Source organism: Homo sapiens, chromosome 11 (genome assembly GCF_000001405.40).
Source record: "Homo sapiens chromosome 11, GRCh38.p14 Primary Assembly".
Classification (NCBI taxonomy): domain Eukaryota; kingdom Metazoa; phylum Chordata; class Mammalia; order Primates; family Hominidae; genus Homo; species Homo sapiens.
The window spans coordinates 114,391,409-114,411,089 of NC_000011.10; the positions used below are offsets into that span (position 1 = coordinate 114,391,409).

The following is a 19,681-nucleotide window of genomic DNA, read 5'->3' on the forward strand; positions in this document are numbered from 1 at the left end:
AATCACAAAAAAATGCCATCACTTAGAAATAACATTTTGGCAATTCTAGTTTTTTAATGCATATTTCATTCATATAGGTAAGATCATATAATACATACAATTTCATATCCAATTTTTATCTTAAATAATATAAATGTAATTATATCACAAATCAGTTCATATTACTAAAATTTCAAAAATATTTGAATGGCTGCATGTTGAACACCATCTTAAATCAGGGGTTGCAGACTCAGATAGCTTCAGGGTCCAGGTAGTAACTAAAATACACAAAATGGATGAGTATAAGATGGCAGGGAGTGGTGGTAACCAAAAATGCATGTCCCAGCAAAAGGGATTCAAATTTATTTTATTTCTAAACATGTGCTGACAAAATTCAGTGGGGACAATAAGCAAGTCACAAAAGAATATGTGCAATATAATATATTATGTTGTTTTAAAACATGTAAAACAATTAGATATTACACTTAGGGATACATCAGGGATAGACACGTAGTTAAAGCTGTTTTTTTTTTTTTTAAAATAAAGCATGGGAATGCAAAACACCAAATTCAGCACAACGATTATGTTTGGCAGGAATAAGTGATGTGGGCAGATTATCAAGCTGAGTTAAACCAAGGGTGTTTAACATGTGGAGCAATATTTTACTTGAATGGTAAGTATACAGGTATTGGTTGCATTTTACTTACACTGTTTTGTACATATTAAATATTGTGGCCAGGCACAGTGGCTCATGCCTGTAATCCCAACACTTTGGGAAGCTGAGACTGGCAGATCACTCGAGCCCAGGAATTCAAGACTAGCCTGGGAAACATGGCGAAACCCCATCTCTACAAAAAAATTAGCTAAGGGCTGGGTGCTGTGGCTTATGCCTGTAATCGCAACACTTTGGGAGGCCGAGGCGAGTGGATCACTGGAGGTTAGGACTTCGAGACCAGTCTGGCCAACATGGTGAAATCCCGTCTCTACTAAAAATACGGAAATTAGCCAGGCTTGGTGATGGGCATCTGTAATCCCAGCTACTGAGGAGGCTGAGGCAGGAGAATCACTGGAACCCGGGAGATGGAGGTTGCAGGGAGCTGAGATCATGCCACTACACTCCAGCCTAGGTGATAGAATGAGACAAAAAAAAAAAAAAAAAAAAAGAAGAAGAAGAAGAAGAAAAAAGAAAAAACATTAGCTGGGTATGGTGGTGTGTGCCTGTAATCCCAGCTACTGGGGAGGCTGAGGTGGCAGAATTGCCTGAGCCCAAAAAGCCAAGGTTACAGTGAGCCATGATCACCGCACTGCACCCCAGAGCCTGAGCAATAGAGTAAGATCCTGTCTCAAAAAAAAAAAAACAAAAAAAAATTGTACAATGCATCTTTTTCAGGAAAAAAAAAAAAATCCTGTTAGCCACAGAAAACCCCGTGCCAGATCTGCCCACTGGCCACTCTAGCATGATAAGTGGTATTGCATAGTCAACAAGTGAATACTCCCTCCACCACTACATAGTTCTGTGCCTTTAGGCAGTTACTAAAATTCTCTGCAAACTAAGGCCTGAAGGCTAAATCTAGCCCTCTGCTAGTTTTGTACAGTCCTCCAGCTAAGAATGGTTAGTACATTTAGAAATGGTTGGAAAGTAAAGTGGTACCTTTAACCTGTTACTGAACTGTGAACGGGTTCAGCAATTAGCTTTTGCTGCAGACTTATGTTTCTCAAACCTAAAATTATAAGGCAAAACAGCTCTTACATGCCACACTTATAGGGTGGTAAAGTCATTTCAACAACAACTTAACATTGTTTGAACACCAGCATCTCAAGCTGCTTTATGCCTTCCTATCTGTTAAAAGTTAAAACAAGAAGCAAGATCTCCACACCCACACATACTTGCAGTAGATAAATTTTACAAGCTCAAGGTAGAGTTCTAACAGTGTCTTTTAGACCTGGACATAAGTGCAAAGAATATGTTCACAATTCAAAGTCCATTTAACTCTGCAATTGAGGAGCTTCTACTTCAATCGGAAGCAATTAATTTGCAATGTAATGACAGGCTAAAAGGCAAATATCAAGAGAAAAATGTAATAGAATTTTATAAATGCCTTCCCAATGATGAATATGTTCAATTAAAATCATATGCCTGTGGATTCATATCAGTATTTGTCAGTACCTATCTGTATGAAAAGACATTTTGAAGATGAAATACACAAAATCTCATTAAAAATCAGCATTTATAGATGAGCATTCGCTATTGATTTTGATGATAAAGAACACTTAATTTTGTACTTCAGTTAAGTGAAATGGTATCCCTCCAAAAAAAGAATTCCATCTTTTCCTTGAAAGCATTAGCACTACAAAAAATTGTATTCAATTAATATACTTTGAATTTCATTTGAACAAACTTTGTGAAAGTTTGTTTTCTCTCTTGTTATGTAAGTATTTACATAAGAGCTTCGATTTTTACCTGTTGGACCACAAAGTCTAAAATATTTACTACCTAGGTCTTCAGAAAATGTTTGCCAATCCCTGTCATAGCATGATTGTGAGGATTAAATAAAAGAATCCTTGTGAAAGTGGTTAGCAGCAAACTAGAATATAACTTTTTTTCTTTTTGAGACAGAGTCTCGCTCTGTCGCCCAGGCTGGAGTGCAGTGGTGCGATCTAGGCTCCCTGCAAGCTCCGCCTCCCGGGTTCACGCCATTCTCCTGCCTCAGCCTCCCAAGTAGCTGGGACTACAGGCGCCCATCACCACTCCGGCTAATTTTTTTTGTATTTTTGGTAGAGACGGGGTTTCGTTTCTTTTCTTTTCTTTTCTTTTCTTTTCTTTTCTTTTCTTTTCTTTTCTTTCTTTTCTTTTCTTTTCTTTTCTTTTCTTTTCTTTTCTTTTCTTTTCTTTTCTTTTCTCTTATTTTCTTTTCTTTTCTTTTTGAGACGGAGTCGCACTCTGTTGCCCAGGCTGGAGTGCAGTGGCACGATCTTGGCTCACTGCAACTTCTGCCTCCCAGGTTCAAGCGATTCTCCTGCCTCAGACTCCCAAGTAGCTGGGATTACAGGCACCTGCCACCACGCCTGGCTAATTTTTGTATTTTTAGTAGAGATGGGGTTTCACCATGTTGGCCAGGCTGGTCTCAAACTCTTGACCTCAGGTGATCCACCCACGTTGGCCTCCCAAAGTGCTGGGATTACAGGCGTGAGCCACTGCGCCCAGCGAGACGGGATTTCACCGTGTTAGCCGGGATGGTCTCCATCTCCTGACCTTGTGATCCGGACTCCTCGGCCTCCCAAAGTGCTGGTATTACAAGTGTGAGCCACCACGCCCAGCCAGGTATTGACTTTTTTTAATCCATCATCTATTTTGGGCATAGGTTTCCAGGGTTTTTTAAAATTATAAACAGAAAAATGTTATATGCATTAAATATTTATGTTCATAAATATTTGTCCACATCTTGGATTAGGAGCTAACTTTAGGTTGTATTCCTAGCGGCAGGTTGATTTCAAACTGAAGTAATCCTTTAAGAAAAATTTATCTTACCTTGTTACTCTTATTTGCCCAGGCAACTAGATAATTGCAGACAAAAGAGACTACAATTTATGCCCTTGCCTTCCTGACATGTTGTATTTTTGGATTTTGATTCCAAGGAGACATAGCCTATCCGTGAAGGTTATTCATTCATTCAACACGCATTCATTAAATATCTACTCTTTGGGCACAGGATAAATTTAGACATGTTGCCTACCCTCAGGGAGCTTCTACAGAGGAGAGATAAGACATAGATTACACCTCTATCCCTGGAATTAGCTGTGAAGTCTCACCCAAATACTTGAACACAGAGTGAGGAGGTGCCCTCTGCCTTCCCAGCTCTGTCAGTCAATATAGTTCATTTTTTGCTTAACCTGGTTAAAATAAGTGTGTTCTTTGAATGTAAGGAGCCATTTACTAATCTAGATGGATAAAAGTTTAACCAACAGAAAATGAGGACAAGCAATTTGGTTAAGGGCGTTGCCACAGATGCAGAGAACAGCAACCACCTGGGGGAATTAAGGAGGAAAGGCTGGCAATGCAGCTTGGTCACATTATGGAAAGTCTGAAATGTTTTTGGAGTGTGCAATGTATGAGAGTTGCACTGCTTCAGTGACTCTCAGGTCTTTGGGAAGTTGAAGGCAATATTTTCTTCCTCTGATTTAGAAGTGCATTTTGAAGTAGGGCAGCCTTCAGATATTCTAGTGAAATAAGGAGCCAAGTAAACTGTTACTTTAAAAAGAAAATACATCATTAGCATTGTTAAGAAACACTTGCACTCACCTGTATTCATCAGTGGATGTTCCTAATGTCTGTCATGAGTAATAATGCCAATTTTGATCCTCAGTGCCTAGGGAATCTGCAGCTGCATGCTTGCCTCCCTTCTCCCACCCACTTGCCAAAGACATTGATAGGTATGGGTCATCATGTGCAGTCAAGATAGGGTTGAACCTTATCAAACCAGGAGTGAGAAAACCAGCCCATCTGCCTAATTAGTAACATTGTTTGTTTAGAAAGAGTCTCCCTCTGTTGGCCAGGCTGGAGTGCAGTGGTGTGATCGTAGCTCACTACATTCCTCCAACTCCTGGGCTCAAGGGATTCTCCCACCTTAGCCTACAGCCTGGTACTACAGGCCCGACCAATCGTGCCCCACTCCTAAAATTCTGGAAGCTTACCAAAGTCTGACACACTATATAAAAATCCATTTCTAGTACCTGAAAAATTGGATCCATTAGGGAGCCAGTGGAGCTTTTTAAGTAAGGCATTTCTAATTACGTTTCTGTAGAAGAGAGGCTCCCCAGGAAGGCAGTAGTATGCAAAGATTTTAAATTTATGGACAAATAAATTTGTGAAACACAAGTTGAAACATCATCAAACAGGTGTCTTTTTCTGAACCTTTAACATGCCCTTACACATTATGACTCCCTAAGAAGGCAATAAAGCATGTGCTTGTCAAATTTATTGGCCTCATGCCTTTTTTTCAAAGGTGTATCTTGTATTTCTAGTGAAAGTTCTGTAGAATATACTTTGGGAAACACTAAAGTATTAGTTATGTGATCAGAGATGTGCTTTAGGAATATTAATTTGGAGGCTACACACATTTAGGATGAAGTAGAGAGACAGAGGCAAAGAAAACAGGCTACATGTCCAGGTAAATATAGTCCAGGTGATGAGTGATTACAAAAAGATAACATAAATATATTTTGAATTTCAATTGGGCAGGACTTTGCAACTGAATGGAAATAGGCAATGAGGAAAGGACACAGGTGGTACTGAGTCAAAGGTATTCAAACATACATTTTGTTGGCTAGAAAAATTGGTAAACTCTTCATAGAAATTAAGAAAACAAAAGCTGCACCTTAGTGGGATCTGGATAAACTTACCAAGGGAATGAAAGACATACAATTAATTCTGCTGGAAAGAAAGTTGAACCTTACTCTTTCCTCCTATTGGACTTTTCACCCTCCTTTCTTCTTCTTTTCTACCTTCCAAGTCAGCCCTCTTAAAGTTACCTTTATCACCAGATTGGCTACTGAGGGAAGCAATCTCATTGGTCTTTTTTTCCAATCTCCCAAATGGATATTAAAACAACACAAAACAAAAATAACACAACTCTTCTTTTTCAGAGTTCTTAAAACTGCTTTTTAGGAGTTTTAGTGCTGATGAATAGAGGAAGTAAATATCTTATTAGGGCCCCATTTCAACACATGCTAGCCAGTTGCTTAGTATGATATAAGAAGTAGAGGCAGTAAAAACAAACTGAAAGTTACAATGGCTTTTTAAAAACTTACAGAAGTATAATTGTTTGGGACAATTCTTAGAAATCATCTATTTTAGAATGACAACATGCTATGTTTAATCATTGATACTATATAAAAATTCATTTTGTGCACTAATATATGGATGTTTAATAATATGGTCTGCTCTTGGGAAACTTAGTTGTCCCTGCTTTAGATAATTTAATTAAAAAGGGGTTTATGTTGGTTTGTGCTTCTACAATACAGTCTTTGTGACTCGAGGGTCACATTGTAACTTGAATGCTACTGCAGATGTTAAGAACAAGAATTTAGATATCCATTGACTCAGATTTAAAATAATGGAGCATTTATGTGAACAAGGTTCTCTCTTGCCAAACAAAACACAAACCACACCATTTTCTTGTTTACTGCACATACACTATTATTCAACCAAAGCCCTATTCTTGATGACCCCATTCCAGAACAAACAGAAATGAAGTCACTCCCACTTGGTCCTCCCTTGCTCTTGAGCACTTTTGTGTACTTTTGTTCCTTCATTTGACAAATCTCATCCTCTTTTCCCTCATAAGCTAAAAAATATGCTTCCAATGCATATTTAGTGCTGAATCATTTTGTAGGTGATAATTACATGAGCCAACTGGTCTGCCTGTCACCTTGGCATAATTGATGGCACCCTCTTCCACTCCCAAGTGCCCTCATTTGCTGATATGGTCACCCAATATGTCATACCTAATTTTTCTCTCCTCATCCCCCAACTCCCCATTTCAACTTTAACCGAGTTTATTTTTTAAAGCATAGGATTATATACTAAATGGGAAAAAATGAAGAAGTCATCTAGTCATATTTCGCACTATGAGGATTCCTTTGACAAAATCCTTCACAAGATTCAGCCTCTCTGAACTTTCTGGCAGCTAATTCATTACCTTTTGAGGTGGTATTTTCCACTACTAGGCATCTCTAAGTTTTAAGAAAGGCTTCTTTATCTTCAGCTTTAATTTTATTCTTCTTCCCCAGTCTAACACTCTGTTTATAGTTTGGAATTCCTTTCTCAACCACGGGTTTTTGTAATGCCCAGATTAAGCCATCCATTGTATATTACAAACTAACTTCTTTTTAGTTATCTGAAAAAAAATTAGTTATATATTATCCTTGGGAAAATTGAGAAAATAGTTACTCAAGTCATTTTTTTTGCATTCAGATGAGGAACCTCATTTGAAAGGCTGCAGGGCTCTATCATTTACTAGCTATATGACCTTGGAAAGTTTATCTCCTTCACGCTGTTTTTCAGTAACAAAATGAAAGTAGAGTACCCCTCTTATGGGCTGCTGTGAGAATCAAATAACATATAAAGTTCCTTAGGAACACATACTTTTATCATGTTCACCACTTTATTCTAAGTGCTTACCGCAGGCAGTAGCAGGTACAGAGTAAGTTCTCAATAAATATCTCTATAAACAATAGAAGTCCTAGCACACTGACTTGCACATAGCACTCAATAAAAGGTAGCTATTACTATTCTTTCAATCATTCTTCCTATGATCTGGTTTCTAGAATTCTCACTATATTAATCACCCTCTTATGGAAGCTATCTTGTTTACTCAACATTCTTCTTAACACGTAGTTATAACAATTCAATACTATGTGGTGTATGGAGATTTTGCTTTATTTGAAGATAATTATTTTAAGGAAGTCTAAACAGACAAGCGTCTGCTGGGAAAAAGCTAGTCTACCTGCTTATATAAAGAGCTGGCACTTACAAAACCCATTAACTTTCTCAAAATACCACCCTTTAAACATTGGGAAATGTATGGTTAAGAGAACAAAAATAACAGCAAATAAGGAGTGATCAGCCAGGTAAGAGAAGAACCAGGATAGTGCAGTATTATGATGAAAAAAAAAAAAAAAAAGTCACTGCAACCAGTACTTATGTTTATTACTGTACCTAATAAACAGCCCAGCGTGGTGATTCCTATTCACTTAGTAGCCTCCCCATCTAGAATATACTCCGTGATCTTTCTTGATGGCCAGACTGTGTAAAATTCATACAGTGTTTACTACAGGGATCCCCAAATATTGTTAGTTGAATGAACAAACACACATTTCAAGGAGGGCACTACAGTGAGTAGATGAACAGTTTTCTGATAGGAGATTGTACAAGTAATGTTTTCACCAGTGTATTTTAGGACAGCAGATTCAGATTAATGCGCTGGGACTGAATGCAAATAGTAAAATTACAAATATAAAGTAAAAATTTGGAACCTTTGCCAAAGAAAGGAATAATAAATTGATTTAATAATTTGAAAGAACTGTAAGGTTTAGGTTTTGTTCTTATTTTTAGTGCGACTGAGATTGGAGTCTGTTTGTAGACATATCTGAAAAAAGTGAAGGGGGAGATGGAAGATGGTAAATGCCAAGGAAAAGATGGAAGGATAAATCAGTGTAATAAAAAGGAGCACTTCTTTTTCGCCAACAGAAGTAAAGGTAAAGGTTAAGTGTCTGAGTTAACGAATGGATTGTTGACCTCTGGGGAGGGTGCTCCCATCAGCTCAGCTTTGTGACGACCTAAGAATATCCCTTCCACACCTTTCCTGATCCAATCGTTCTGGCTGCATAAAACCACCTAAATCAATCAACTGTTACACTTCCCTTAGTGCTAGGACATATTCATATAACTCCCACGTATTAAATGAAAATACATCCATCTAAAAATAAAACAACACGATTGCTGCTACACCAAGAAAGGATTTTAAAAAGGCCTGTTCACAAGCTAAGTGAGGGCCAGAGGAAAGGTGTTCGTTTAAACTGAAATTCGAGCTGCGATAACACCTCCTAATGCAATCAAACGCTGTTGCAGCACACTTCTTAGGAGATCGGGTTCAACGGCAGGGATTGGGTAAGGTGAGAATCTGGCTTGGCGGCTCCGGCCCCGGCCATCTGGTTCCCTTGGGCTCCGGCCGCCACCATCCACTCGACGGCTCTCGGCCCGAACGCTTGGTCGCACCGCCTGCCGAGGTCCTAGATGAATCGCTTCAGGCCTGGAAACGAGGAAGCCGTCTCCGGAGACCATCGCCAACGCTGACGCCCGCGGTCTGAGGTCGCCATGGGAAGAGCGGTAGGCCACCCTGCTCCTCTGATCACCGGAGGACAGGGACACATTGTTCAGGGCCATATTCAAACACTGCCCGCAGTACTTGCGTTACGTCCCTTTGTGAAGGCAGGCCCTTCGCGGCTCCCCAGATCAGTCCAGCCTGTGTCGGACCCGATGACTAAGCACACAGGAACCCATAACTGAGCCTGCGGAAGAGCCAGAAGCCGCCTTGCCTTTAACGAGGGGTATCCTGGCGAGCATGCGCAGACCGTCCGCGCACGTCGTCGCCCGCTGAGAGCAAGCGCAACGGGCGTTTTCGTTTGTGACGCCAGGGAGCGTGAGGACGTGGGGCTTCCGTGAATGCGCAGTGGGTGCGTCGGCCACGACCTTTTGGCCAGGTTAGGGAGGGGGCGACGCTGAGATGGGGGCGGCGGCGGCGGAAGCGGATCGCACTCTCTTTGTGGGCAACCTTGAAACGAAAGTGACCGAGGAGCTCCTTTTCGAGCTTTTCCACCAGGTAAGCGGCTGGGTTCGGCCCTTTGCCTTTCGTTTTCCGTCTCGCCTAGGGCCTGGCCAGCGGCCACCCCGTTTTCTTTTCGTAGCCGTCAGGGGACCCGACGGGTGGCTGTTTGGGGGTGAAAGGCGGGTCTGGGTTGCGAAACGCTCGCTGGGTGTCGCTTTCCTGGAAGATCTTGGTTCGTTTAGGCCGAAAGTGACGACTAAAGGTGGTGGAGGGATCCTCGATCAGGTTTCCCGTGGTAGAGATCCAGGGGTCCTTGGGAACACAGTGTGTGTGTAGGGTCTTCGTTGAGCAGTGCTTTTTCTTATCCTTCCTGTTGTCATCTTCCCCTTAGGATAATTTGTCTTTGGTTTATCTGACTGGGAACTTAATATTTTAATTTATTTGTGTCTGTTTTCCCCTAAAGTTTGCTTATCAAATTGCAGCATTATTAAAATATGTAAAATAAAATGGTTAAGTACTCCGTAGAAAAACAGCATTTTAGTGTTGCTGTATTAAAAAGTGTGAAAAATTCTGAGTATCCTATTCCCCCCATCCCTATCCCCTAATAACTGGTATTGTTTGATTAATCAATACAAAAGTCCGTTTTTAGTTAAAGAAAATCATTCTCTTGTTCTTGATAAATGTTCATTTTCATGGAGTGGCAAAATAATGGCGATTGGTCACTATGTTAAGCCATACAGTGCTGTGAATTGCAAAAGTGATTGTGTTTCCAGTTCCTTATGGGCCCCCTTCCCCAAATAAATCTAATGTTCAGTCATAACTAGGATGTTTACTGTAGCCAAAATGGAAATCCGTGCATCATTTTCAAAAGAAGTTTCTGATTACGTTTCTGTTGTTTTTAAACTTTGTCATATCTTATTTGTAAAATTTGAGTATTTTCCCTTAGTTGCTTTATTTAAATTCTAAACACCTTTTTGTTTGTAGGCTGGGCCAGTAATAAAGGTGAAAATTCCAAAAGATAAGGATGGTAAACCAAAGCAGTTTGCGTTTGTGAATTTCAAACATGAAGTGTCTGTTCCTTATGCAATGAATCTACTTAATGGAATCAAACTTTATGGAAGGCCTATCAAAATTCAATTTAGATCAGGTAACTGCCCAATGAGGTTCGGGGGGCATTGTTTCCTGCTGTTTTTAAATTTATTATTCAGTTTTAAAGAACCTCTTATTTGTAGATGAAACTTCTTTCTTAAGCATTGTGAATAGTAAACTTTATATAGCAAACTTTATATATCCCTGAAAACGGGTAACATTGACACATGGATTTTGAAATTAGAATTTCAAAACTGAGCTTAAAGTTTCATTTTGGGTTAGTGAAAAAACATAAACTGTATCACTAAGAGAGCTGGGCTTGGGTACTCTGAAAAGAGCTAGGTTTATTTTCTGAAAATACTTCTCCTGGCTGCTTTGTAATTACTTTTATATATTTTGGTTCTTGATCATGTGAGGATGAAACTGTCCATGTATCCAGTGTTACAATTTAGGGTGGAGATCAGAAAATTATGGTCAGATTGGATATTTATGGAGTGCTTTGTTTTGCTTATCTGATATTATACACTTATAATTTTCACCCCGATGAAGCCGTAAAGCGGTCTACAGCAGCTTGAGATTCTTTTTTTTTTTTTTTTTTTTTTTTTTTTTTTTTTTTTTTGAGATGGAGTCTTGCCCTGTTGCCTAGGCTGGAGTGCAGTGGTGCAATTTCAGCTCACTGCAACCTCTGCCTCCCAGGTTCAAGTGATTCTCCTGCCTTAGCCTCCTGAGTAGCTGGGATTACAGGTGCACGCCACCACGCCTGGCTAATTCTTTGTATTTTTAGTAGAGGTGGGGTTTCACCATGTTGGTCAGGCTGGTCTCGAACTCCTGGCCTCGAGAGATGTGCCCACGTCAGCCTCCCAAAGTGCTGGGATTACAGGCGTCAGCCACCGCGCCCGGCCAGTAGTTTGAGATTTTTCTCTTTTAGATTGTGTTTACCTTTTTGGAGTGATTTCAAGTGGGGAAGACAAAATTTCAAATTAGATTTTCTATCAAGAATAATTTTTCAAATTGTTTCATTTTAGGAAGTAGTCATGCCCCACAAGATGTCAGTTTGTCATATCCCCAACATCATGTTGGAAATTCAAGCCCTACCTCCACATCTCCTAGCAGGTAATATTTCTCACTTATTGTTAAGATCATTTATCAGGAATTCTTATAGGGAATAGCCTCAAAACACATGAGTAAATAGTCTCCTTCATTATTCTCTTATCTCTTCATTCTGCCGTTATTACTTGCCTTTTGGGGTTGTTGTTATGTATCTATTCTAAGGGGTATAGAATGTGTCTATTCTATAGACAAACACATTGTATATAGTCCCCTTAGAATAGATACGTATATAACTATTTGTTGATTTGTAGCGACATAACCATACCCACATATGTGTACAGTACATGTATACACTTGAAACAAAATTTCTCAAAACATTATTTACCCTCACTACTTGGATTACTATTTCATTTAAAACATTTTAAAATTTATTTTACAGTCATTAATTGGTTGTTACTTACAGTTGAAAAATACCAGTTAGTCAACAGTCTATTGGACTAAGAATTCCTAGAATTGGATTCTAGGTCTGCATCTATCAATTGTGTAATCTTGAGCTAGTCTCCTTTCTTTAGTCCCGTCTTCCCATGTGTAAGGAAAATAAGTTGAATTAAATGATTTGTAAAATCTCTTCAGGTACTGAGTATTAGAAAATATCATATTTACTTAAATGATTTTATTTGCTTTGGGGAGGTTCATATTTTACCAGGGACAATTTTTCCCGGTATATCCATAAAGCTATTTAACAGTCATTTAAGAAAGATTTAATAAATACCTGCCATATGTCAGGTTCTTCACCATATCTTTTACATATATGATTTCATTTATTCCTCACAGCAGTTTTATGAGGGTAGGGATTATTTTTATCTCTACCTCTTATATGAAGGGAAATGAAAAATGGAGGTTAACTTGCTCAGGTTCAGTGGGCTGGGATTCAAACCCAGGCAGTGTAGTGTGATTGAGCCCAGCCACTATGATGTATTATCTAGAGGAGCTTAAAGTCTAAATGAAGACACATATTATATATATTTTTGTGAATACCTGTTCAATTACTGTAATAAGTTCTCTAAAGAAAGAGTACAAAGGGCTTTGAGAAAATTTTAAGAGAAGGAGATGATATAGATGAATGTGGAACTGAAAGAAGCCAGTGTACCTAGATCATAATGAATGAAAATGGAGAGCAGTAGGGGATTTTGGTAGATAGGCTGGAGAGGGTCTTTTAAACTATAATCAGGATTTTGAGATTTTACCCTAAAATGGAGTAGGAAGGCAGTGAAATGTTTTAGGTAGGGTACTGATAGGAACAAGTTTATATTTTAAGAGTTGTTTGGTTGCAGTGGGAGAATGGATTGGAGGGGGCAAGAGTGAAAATAGAGCAGTGAGGAAGCTTTTGGTAGCAAGGCATTGATGTTGGAAGCTATTGATGGATGAGGTTGATAGTTTAGATTAAGGTGGTGCCATGAGCTGGAGAGAAGTGGATGGATATGAAGAGATACTAGAAAGTGGAATAGTGAGCCAGCAATAGTGCAAAAAGTGTACCCTCCCGGTGTTCTTTCTTGCCAGCTGAAATTAATTAACAGTGTTTAAACATTTCTTGGTAAAGTTGGCATTTAAAGCACTTCCAGCCCCTTTAATGGAGTCTTCAAAGGCATCCTAGGTAGAGGAAAATAAAAAGTTTTCCCTCTTAGAATTTCTTGGGGAGAAAAAACCAGGTGCAGTGACCCATTCGTATAGTCCCAGCTACTTGGAAGGCTGTGGTGGGAGGACCACTTGAGGCCTTGAGTTTGGGACTAGCCTAGGCAACATAACAAGGCACTCTCTCTATTTAAAGAATTTCTTTGAAAAAAAAAAAGTACAAGTAAATACTTTGGTTTTAATCAAAGGCTAGAGAGTTTATAATTTTTATACTATAAACTAAATTGTACTGCCCCCCTCAGCATACAGATAATATAACCTGATTTGAAAAAACGCAAAATTAAAAGATCCAAAGTGTAAGACCAGCCAATTGGCTATTTGATTCTAAAGACATTTAAAAATAATTTAAAACATTTTTAAAGTGAGCTTTTCTGTAGAGCAAGTTATCCCTTTAATAAATAGGGAATAAGGTATAAATCCTCAAAAGTAATATCCTATGTATGTTACAGAACTCTTAATTCCTTACCTCCCAAAACCTCTTTCTCTTTTTTGTCTCGGGAAATATCTACCTAATTGCTCAAGCCAAGTCTAGATTTGATCCTTTGTTTCTTCCCTCATTCCACATATCCAGTCGATCAAATTCTTTTCATTTTAGTTTTCAATCTAGGTCTTTGCATTAGCTCAGGGACTGACAAATTATTTCTAGAAAGGACCATATAGTTAATATTTTAGACTTTGCAGAAGATACTGTTTCTGTCTCTGCCATTGTAGCACTAAAGTAGCCATAGATAATACAAAAACAATGGTGTGGCTATGTTCCAGTAACACTTTGTTTAGGGAAAACTGAATTTGGCAGTTTGGCCCACTGGCTATACTTGCTCACCCCTGCACTAGTCCTTCAGCTGGGAAGTTTTTGCCTCTAGGTAACCTTGGTGTTCAGTTCTAACTACAAATGTCACCTTTTTAGAAAGGCAGTCGCTCACCAGCTAAAAGATAGGGGAACCTCCTATCTGTTTCACTTCCACTTGATCTTTAATCATACGTTTTATCACTTAAAATCATGAGAAAATATCCTGTTGTCTGTATTCTTATTCTGGCTGCATGAGAGCAGATACCTTTCCTGTCTTGTTCATTCCGACCTTTGAGAAATGTGTTCTGCTCATGGTTGTTAGTTAGTAAATATTTATTGAATGAATGGTTACATGTTGGTTTTCTTTTTAGCAGGTACGAAAGGACTATGGATAACATGACTTCATCAGCACAGATAATTCAGAGATCTTTCTCTTCTCCAGAAAATTTTCAGAGACAAGCAGTGGTAGGTTGACTATTTTTCAACTTGAATTGCCAAAAAAAAATCATCCTTAGTTAAAATGTTCGCATTGTATCAAATAACTGGTTTTTAATTAACTTTGTTAAGTTGGAGGTTTTGTTCCTTTAGTCCTCAAGGCGTAAGTGAACTTTTTAGATAACTTTTTCTCAAATTTTTGTTAGACTAGCATGATTTGTAGATTGAGCACTCATTTTAGTTTTCACTGGGCTGAAATATATACTTAAAAGACTGAAGATAAATAGAAGTAAAACTGCTTTTACATTTGTTTTTCTTTTCAACCATCATTTACTCATTGTCTGATGCTCCTGTACCCTATCCTGAGTGACTTATCATAAACTTGGGTCTTCTAGACCAGTTCCATTTTAAACTTAACCTTTTCTTTTTTTGGTGGTGGTAACATCATCATGAGACTAGGCTTAAAATCTTAGCTATCTTTCACTGTTTCATCTTTGTCATCATTTGTTCAAGTAGGAAGCTGTTGGTAACTATTTGGTGCCTAAATCATGATCTTGACTTGTAGTCCCCAGGCTTTTGTATTTCATAGGTCTGCAAAATGAAATATAGAAGTCAAAATAAATTTGAGAGACCAGTATAAAGGATGTTAACTTTTATGTACATATTGCCTATTTTTCTAATTGTACCGTAGACTATTAAAATAAAAATGATCATATACTAATATTTATCCACAGGCAGAATTTGGGAACCACCGGTCTAGTCAATTATGCCCCCATTTTCCCCTCACTAGTTCATCTTGCACACCATTTCAGAATTAATATTACAATTCTGTTTTGCTTATCTTCCTTGCACATTGACTTTCCATTGTTTGTAAGATGAAGTCAGATTCCTCTAGCCCAATTATTAGGGATTCTTATTGTCTGATTCCAGTAAACCCTGTAGCCTTACCTTTAATTGTTCACTGCTTATTAAGATCTGAAGGCCGGGTGCGGTGGCTAACGCCTGTAACCCCAGCACTTTGGGAGGCTGAGGTGGGTGGATCACGAGGTCAGGAGTTCGAGACCAGCCTGGCCAAGATGGTGAAACCCCGTCTCTACTAAAAATACAAAAATTAGCCGGGCGTGGTGGCACAGGCCTGTAGTCCCAGCTACTTGGGAGGCTGAGGCAGGAGAATCGCTTGAACCCGGGAGGTGGAGCTTGCAGTGAGCCGAGATCTGTAACCTGTCTCAAAGAATTACTTGGTATTCTATGAACCTGTTCTGTGTTTCCCTGTTATTTTTGTTTGTGCAATTTCCTTTTCTTGGCATATCTCTCCCTTAAAATATGAAAATATTCCATCCATTGTTTTAATACCCAGATCATATGCCACCTTCATGAAACCTTTCCTAATGATACTGATCTCCTGATTCTTTGTTTTTTACACAGTGATTTTGCATTATAGTCATTTTGTGTGACTTATTCTGAGTTGCATTCTTGAGGACAAAGAGTAGTATTTATGTATATATATGTATCTTGTAGGTATACATTGGAATGATTGAAGCTATTGTACTGCTTTAGTTGTGGATCCATCTAGGCAAGAGTGACTTTATTTTCTTTCATTTTCTGTTAACTGACCAAATACATATTAGCTTTGATATCTAGAAGTATTAACATTTCCACTTTTCCTATTCCTCAGATGAACAGTGCTTTGAGACAAATGTCATATGGTGGAAAATTTGGTTCTTCACCTCTGGATCAATCAGGATTTTCACCATCAGTTCAATCACACAGTCATAGTTTCAATCAGTCTTCAAGCTCCCAGTGGCGCCAAGGTACACCATCATCACAGCGTAAAGTCAGAATGAATTCTTATCCCTACCTAGCAGATAGACATTATAGCCGGGAACAGCGTTACACTGATCATGGGTCTGACCATCATTACAGAGGAAAGAGAGATGATTTCTTCTATGAAGACAGGAATCATGATGACTGGAGCCATGACTATGATAACAGAAGAGACAGTAGTAGAGATGGAAAATGGCGCTCATCTCGACACTAACACATGTTAAAAGGACATTGTTTTTATAGGGTCATTTTAGGCCCTTTGACTAAGTTGATATGGAAATATTTTGTTGAAAAACTGTACAGAGCAGCTTTACAAGTTGTCACATTTCTTTATAAATTTTTTTAAAGCTACAGTTTAATACAAAATGAATTGCGGTTTTATTACATTAATAACCTTTCACCTCAGGGTTTTATGAAGAGGAAAGGGTTTTATGCAAAAGAAAGTGCTACAATTCCTAATCATTTTAGACACTTTAGGAGGGGGTGAAGTTGTATGATAAAGCAGATATTTTAATTATTTGTTATCTTTTTGTATTGCAAGAAATTTCTTGCTAGTGAATCAAGAAAACATCCAGGTTGACAGTCTAAAATGGCTACTGGTATTTTAGTTAATTCAAAAATGAAACTTTTCAGTGATTCACTTTACTAACATTCTATTTGAGAAGGCTTATTGGTAAAGTTTGGGGATAAAGGCATTGCTTAACTTCTTATATAATTTAGGTATAAATTCTGTGACATGCTCTTGAGCTTTACCCTAGTTGAACATACATGTGTAGATTTACACATACTGTTTCATTCTAAAATTTAGAAATTGTTCATTAAATCCCATTTGAGGTATAAGTCACTCAGGAAGTTAAAATATCTCTACACGTATATTTTTACATTAAAAATACAGTGTTAGCATAAATCCCCTTTTCAGGAAGAACAAAAATGTCAGTGCATAGTTAGATAAAATGGTAAAATGTTTTACTGAAAGCATACTTTTTTGGAAAATAGATTCATGAAGCCTTTAAGTGCTGCTTCTGTCAGTCAAACGTTAAAAACTTTAACATTTTCAAAGTGCCCAGACTGTGTACAAAGACACATGTAATGGAGATTGTACAGGTTGTTTTTTTGTTTGAACCTTTGAAAGAGTTTAATCTTAACGTTTTCTAATTTTAAAATTTTAAAATCTTGTTTAACAAAAGCTTGTATTAAGATACTGTTTTCATTTCATTACAGAATTGTTTATAAAAGTTCATTTGTTGAAAAATAAGGATCCTTTTTAATACCACAGCATTTGTACTGTTCCTTTTTAATATACTGAAAATATAAAAGGAAGGGTGTGTGTTATTTTTTTTTTTTTATGTCACTGACTTCAGAGACATTGTACACAAAGAATTAACATACTTTTATTCACTGATTGCCTGCTGTTTAGAATATCAGTTCTTTAATTTTGAGCATCCTGAAATACATCTTTTGTACATATAGAGCATGATGTTTCACAATCAGATTTTCAGTGACCCCTCGATTATAGCTTGGAGTACTTTAGTTACCCTCAGTGGTCTCTAGGAGTTAAAGTACACTTAGATTTCCTGTTTATAAATGAATTCAGTTTTTCTGTTTCTAAGTAAATGTAGCTATTCAACTACTCACTATAGAATTAAGATAAACAATTTGTTTGCTTAAGCATTTTCACAGAATTTGTTTCCAATGAGATTATTATTTTTGGGTATCTTATCCATATGAAAACTTAGTAGGTTTGTAGATGTTAACGAAGATTAATACTGCATGTTTGTTTTTGTTTTTTTTTTGAGACAGAGTCTTGCTACGACACCCAGGCTAGAGTGCAATGGCGGGATCTCAGGTCACTGCAACCTCCATATCCCGGGTTCAAGTGATTCTCCTGCCTTAGCCTCCCGAGTAGCTGGGATTACAGGCACCCACCACCACGCCTGGCTAGTTTTTGTATTTTTAGTAGAGATGGGGTTTCACCACATTGGCCAGGCTGGTCTCAAACTCCTGACCTCAAGTGATCCACCTACCTTGGCCTACCGAGGTGCTGGAATTACAGGTGTGAGCCACCGCGCCTGGCCTAATACTGCTTTATTACAACGTTATCTGTGGGTCGGATCCTTTTATATTGGTTAACAGATGACCCTGACTCAGAATAATCTTTTTCAATGGCTTTTTGAGGGAAGCTTGTGAAGTTCTGGTGAATCTTCTTTTTCACTTCACTTTCAGTGAGCTGAAAGTAACCAAACTAAATACATGTATTGTGTAAAGGGACAGGACAAGACAGCCTTAAAAAATTGAATATAGTTGGTGAGACAACTCAGAAGTACAGGTTTGAGCATCCCTTATTCAAAATGCTTGAGAAGTGTTTTGGGTTCTGGAATATTTGCATTAATGCTTGCCAGTTGAGCATCCCAGGTCCGGAAATCCACAGTGCTCCAATGAGCCTTTCCCCTGAGTGTCACATCTGTATTGGCACTCAAAAAGTTTCATATTTTGGAGCATTTCAGATTTCAGATTTGGGATGCTTCATCTATATTGACAGCTGCAAGAACAGAAAGGAAGAAGAGATTATTTTTGTGGGAGAACAGTTTCTCCCATAGTGTTTCCTGTGGAATGCTAGTGTCTCATAAAGTCTTCTAAAAAAAAGAAAAAAAAAATCAAATGTTTGGAAGCCATTTTGTGTTACTGTGTGACTTTCTTTTACTCAAAAACAGCACCATAAAATTTCTGACAAGTACTATAGGTAAAGAAATCCCTTTATACTTAACCTAGTATTTTCTACCTTTCCCCATCTAAAATAAAATTTTTATACCACTTTCTAATTATGTTGTGTGTGCCCACTTTCCCCATACCTACTGCTACCATCTTAGAGTAGGCAATTTTCTCAAGAGGATTATTCCAAGAACACCCTAATGTTTTCCTGCTTCCAGTCTTCTTTCCTCAAATTTATTCCACACTCTTAAGAATTGAAGATGTAAATCTGTCACTCGCCTGAATAAAGCTTCAGTGGCCTCTGACTTAAGTACAAAATTCTCAACTTAATATGACCCCTATTTGGCATGTGCTACTTCAGTCTCCTCTGATGACTTCCCCACTTTAGTTCTCATAGTAACTGCCCTTCACTGCTCAATCTATGCATTACTTCCTCTAGAAAGCCTTTCCAGAGCTCTGAAATCCAGATTCAGTGCCAAGTTATGTATTCCCCAAATATCTTTTTCTTTTATCATAGCCTTTAGACTGTATTATAATTTTCTTTTTACTTGTCTGTCTCTGTAGACAGCTCTATGAAGACAGACCTTATCTTATTCATCACTGCATTCCCAGGATCCAGTGCCTGGCATATATTTAACAGTGAAACTTTTTGATGAAAGGAAGAACGTCTGTTAATTGAATAAGGAAAAGGAGGATTCAACACATAAAACTTTGAATAGGCTCTCTAAACCTAAAACATTGCATCCTGAGAATTACATGTCACAGTACATGTATTCTAGAATTCTAT

General features: G+C 38.1%; 2 protein-coding genes across 7 annotated transcripts, besides 4 other annotated features; one reads left to right on the plus strand and one right to left on the minus strand.

The window, feature by feature from the left end:
* Nucleotides 1–34: 34 nt before the first annotated feature.
* On the minus strand, nt 35–9,103 carry C11orf71 (chromosome 11 open reading frame 71). 2 transcript variants are annotated; one of them, NM_019021.4, is made up of 2 exons: nt 8,581–9,103; nt 35–257 (listed from the first exon to the last, which is right to left on the minus strand). In NM_019021.4, the coding sequence occupies exons 1-2, from the start codon at nt 8,921–8,923 to the stop codon at nt 157–159; spliced, it is 444 nt and encodes a 147-aa protein (NP_061894.2). In that variant the 5' UTR covers nt 8,924–9,103; the 3' UTR covers nt 35–156. The 2 variants fall into 2 exon arrangements, with proteins under 2 accessions (NP_061894.2, NP_001258491.1); NM_001271562.2 differs by lacking the exon at nt 35–257 and having other exon boundaries at nt 7,124–9,103.
* Nucleotides 8,345–8,887: an enhancer, noted in NCBI's record as "NANOG-H3K27ac-H3K4me1 hESC enhancer chr11:114270475-114271017 (GRCh37/hg19 assembly coordinates)". NCBI's record gives its function as "activates a minimal SCP1, AML or CMV promoter by ChIP-STARR-seq in primed H9 embryonic stem cells {active_cell/tissue: H9 hESC(primed)}" and the evidence as "EXISTENCE:reporter gene assay evidence [ECO:0000049][PMID:30033119]".
* Nucleotides 8,345–9,430: a biological region, named in NCBI's record as "NANOG-H3K27ac-H3K4me1 hESC enhancers GRCh37_chr11:114270475-114271017 and GRCh37_chr11:114271018-114271560".
* Nucleotides 8,601–8,990: an enhancer, noted in NCBI's record as "active region_5544". NCBI's record gives its function as "activates an Ori minimal core promoter by ATAC-STARR-seq in GM12878 lymphoblastoid cells {active_cell/tissue: GM12878}" and the evidence as "EXISTENCE:reporter gene assay evidence [ECO:0000049][PMID:35858748]".
* Nucleotides 8,888–9,430: an enhancer, noted in NCBI's record as "NANOG-H3K27ac-H3K4me1 hESC enhancer chr11:114271018-114271560 (GRCh37/hg19 assembly coordinates)". NCBI's record gives its function as "activates a minimal SCP1, AML or CMV promoter by ChIP-STARR-seq in primed H9 embryonic stem cells {active_cell/tissue: H9 hESC(primed)}" and the evidence as "EXISTENCE:reporter gene assay evidence [ECO:0000049][PMID:30033119]".
* On the plus strand, nt 9,258–19,199 carry RBM7 (RNA binding motif protein 7). 5 transcript variants are annotated; one of them, NM_001286045.2, is made up of 5 exons: nt 9,258–9,359; nt 10,290–10,452; nt 11,420–11,507; nt 14,298–14,391; nt 16,037–19,199. In NM_001286045.2, the coding sequence occupies exons 1-5, from the start codon at nt 9,264–9,266 to the stop codon at nt 16,397–16,399; spliced, it is 804 nt and encodes a 267-aa protein (NP_001272974.1). In that variant the 5' UTR covers nt 9,258–9,263; the 3' UTR covers nt 16,400–19,199. The 5 variants fall into 5 exon arrangements, with proteins under 5 accessions (NP_001272974.1, NP_057174.1, NP_001272975.1 ...); NM_016090.4 differs by having other exon boundaries at nt 14,301–14,391; NM_001286046.2 differs by having other exon boundaries at nt 11,424–11,507.
* Nucleotides 19,200–19,681: the final 482 nt, after the last annotated feature.

Bases quoted from the DNA above. Each gene is read 5' to 3' on its own strand.
- C11orf71 (NM_019021.4), bottom strand. From the start codon at position 8,923: ATGGCCCTGAACAATGTGTCCCTGTCCTCCGGTGATCAGAGGAGCAGG. The intron at 258-8,580 runs GTGTTATCGCAG...TGTGTATTTTAG, and splicing joins GCGTTTGATTGCATTAGGAG to TTACTACCTGGACCCTGAAG.
- RBM7 (NM_001286045.2), top strand. From the start codon at position 9,264: ATGGGGGCGGCGGCGGCGGAAGCGGATCGCACTCTCTTTGTGGGCAAC. The intron at 9,360-10,289 runs GTAAGCGGCTGG...TTTTGTTTGTAG, and splicing joins TTTTCGAGCTTTTCCACCAG to GCTGGGCCAGTAATAAAGGT. The intron at 11,508-14,297 runs GTAATATTTCTC...TTTTCTTTTTAG, and splicing joins ACCTCCACATCTCCTAGCAG to CAGGTACGAAAGGACTATGG.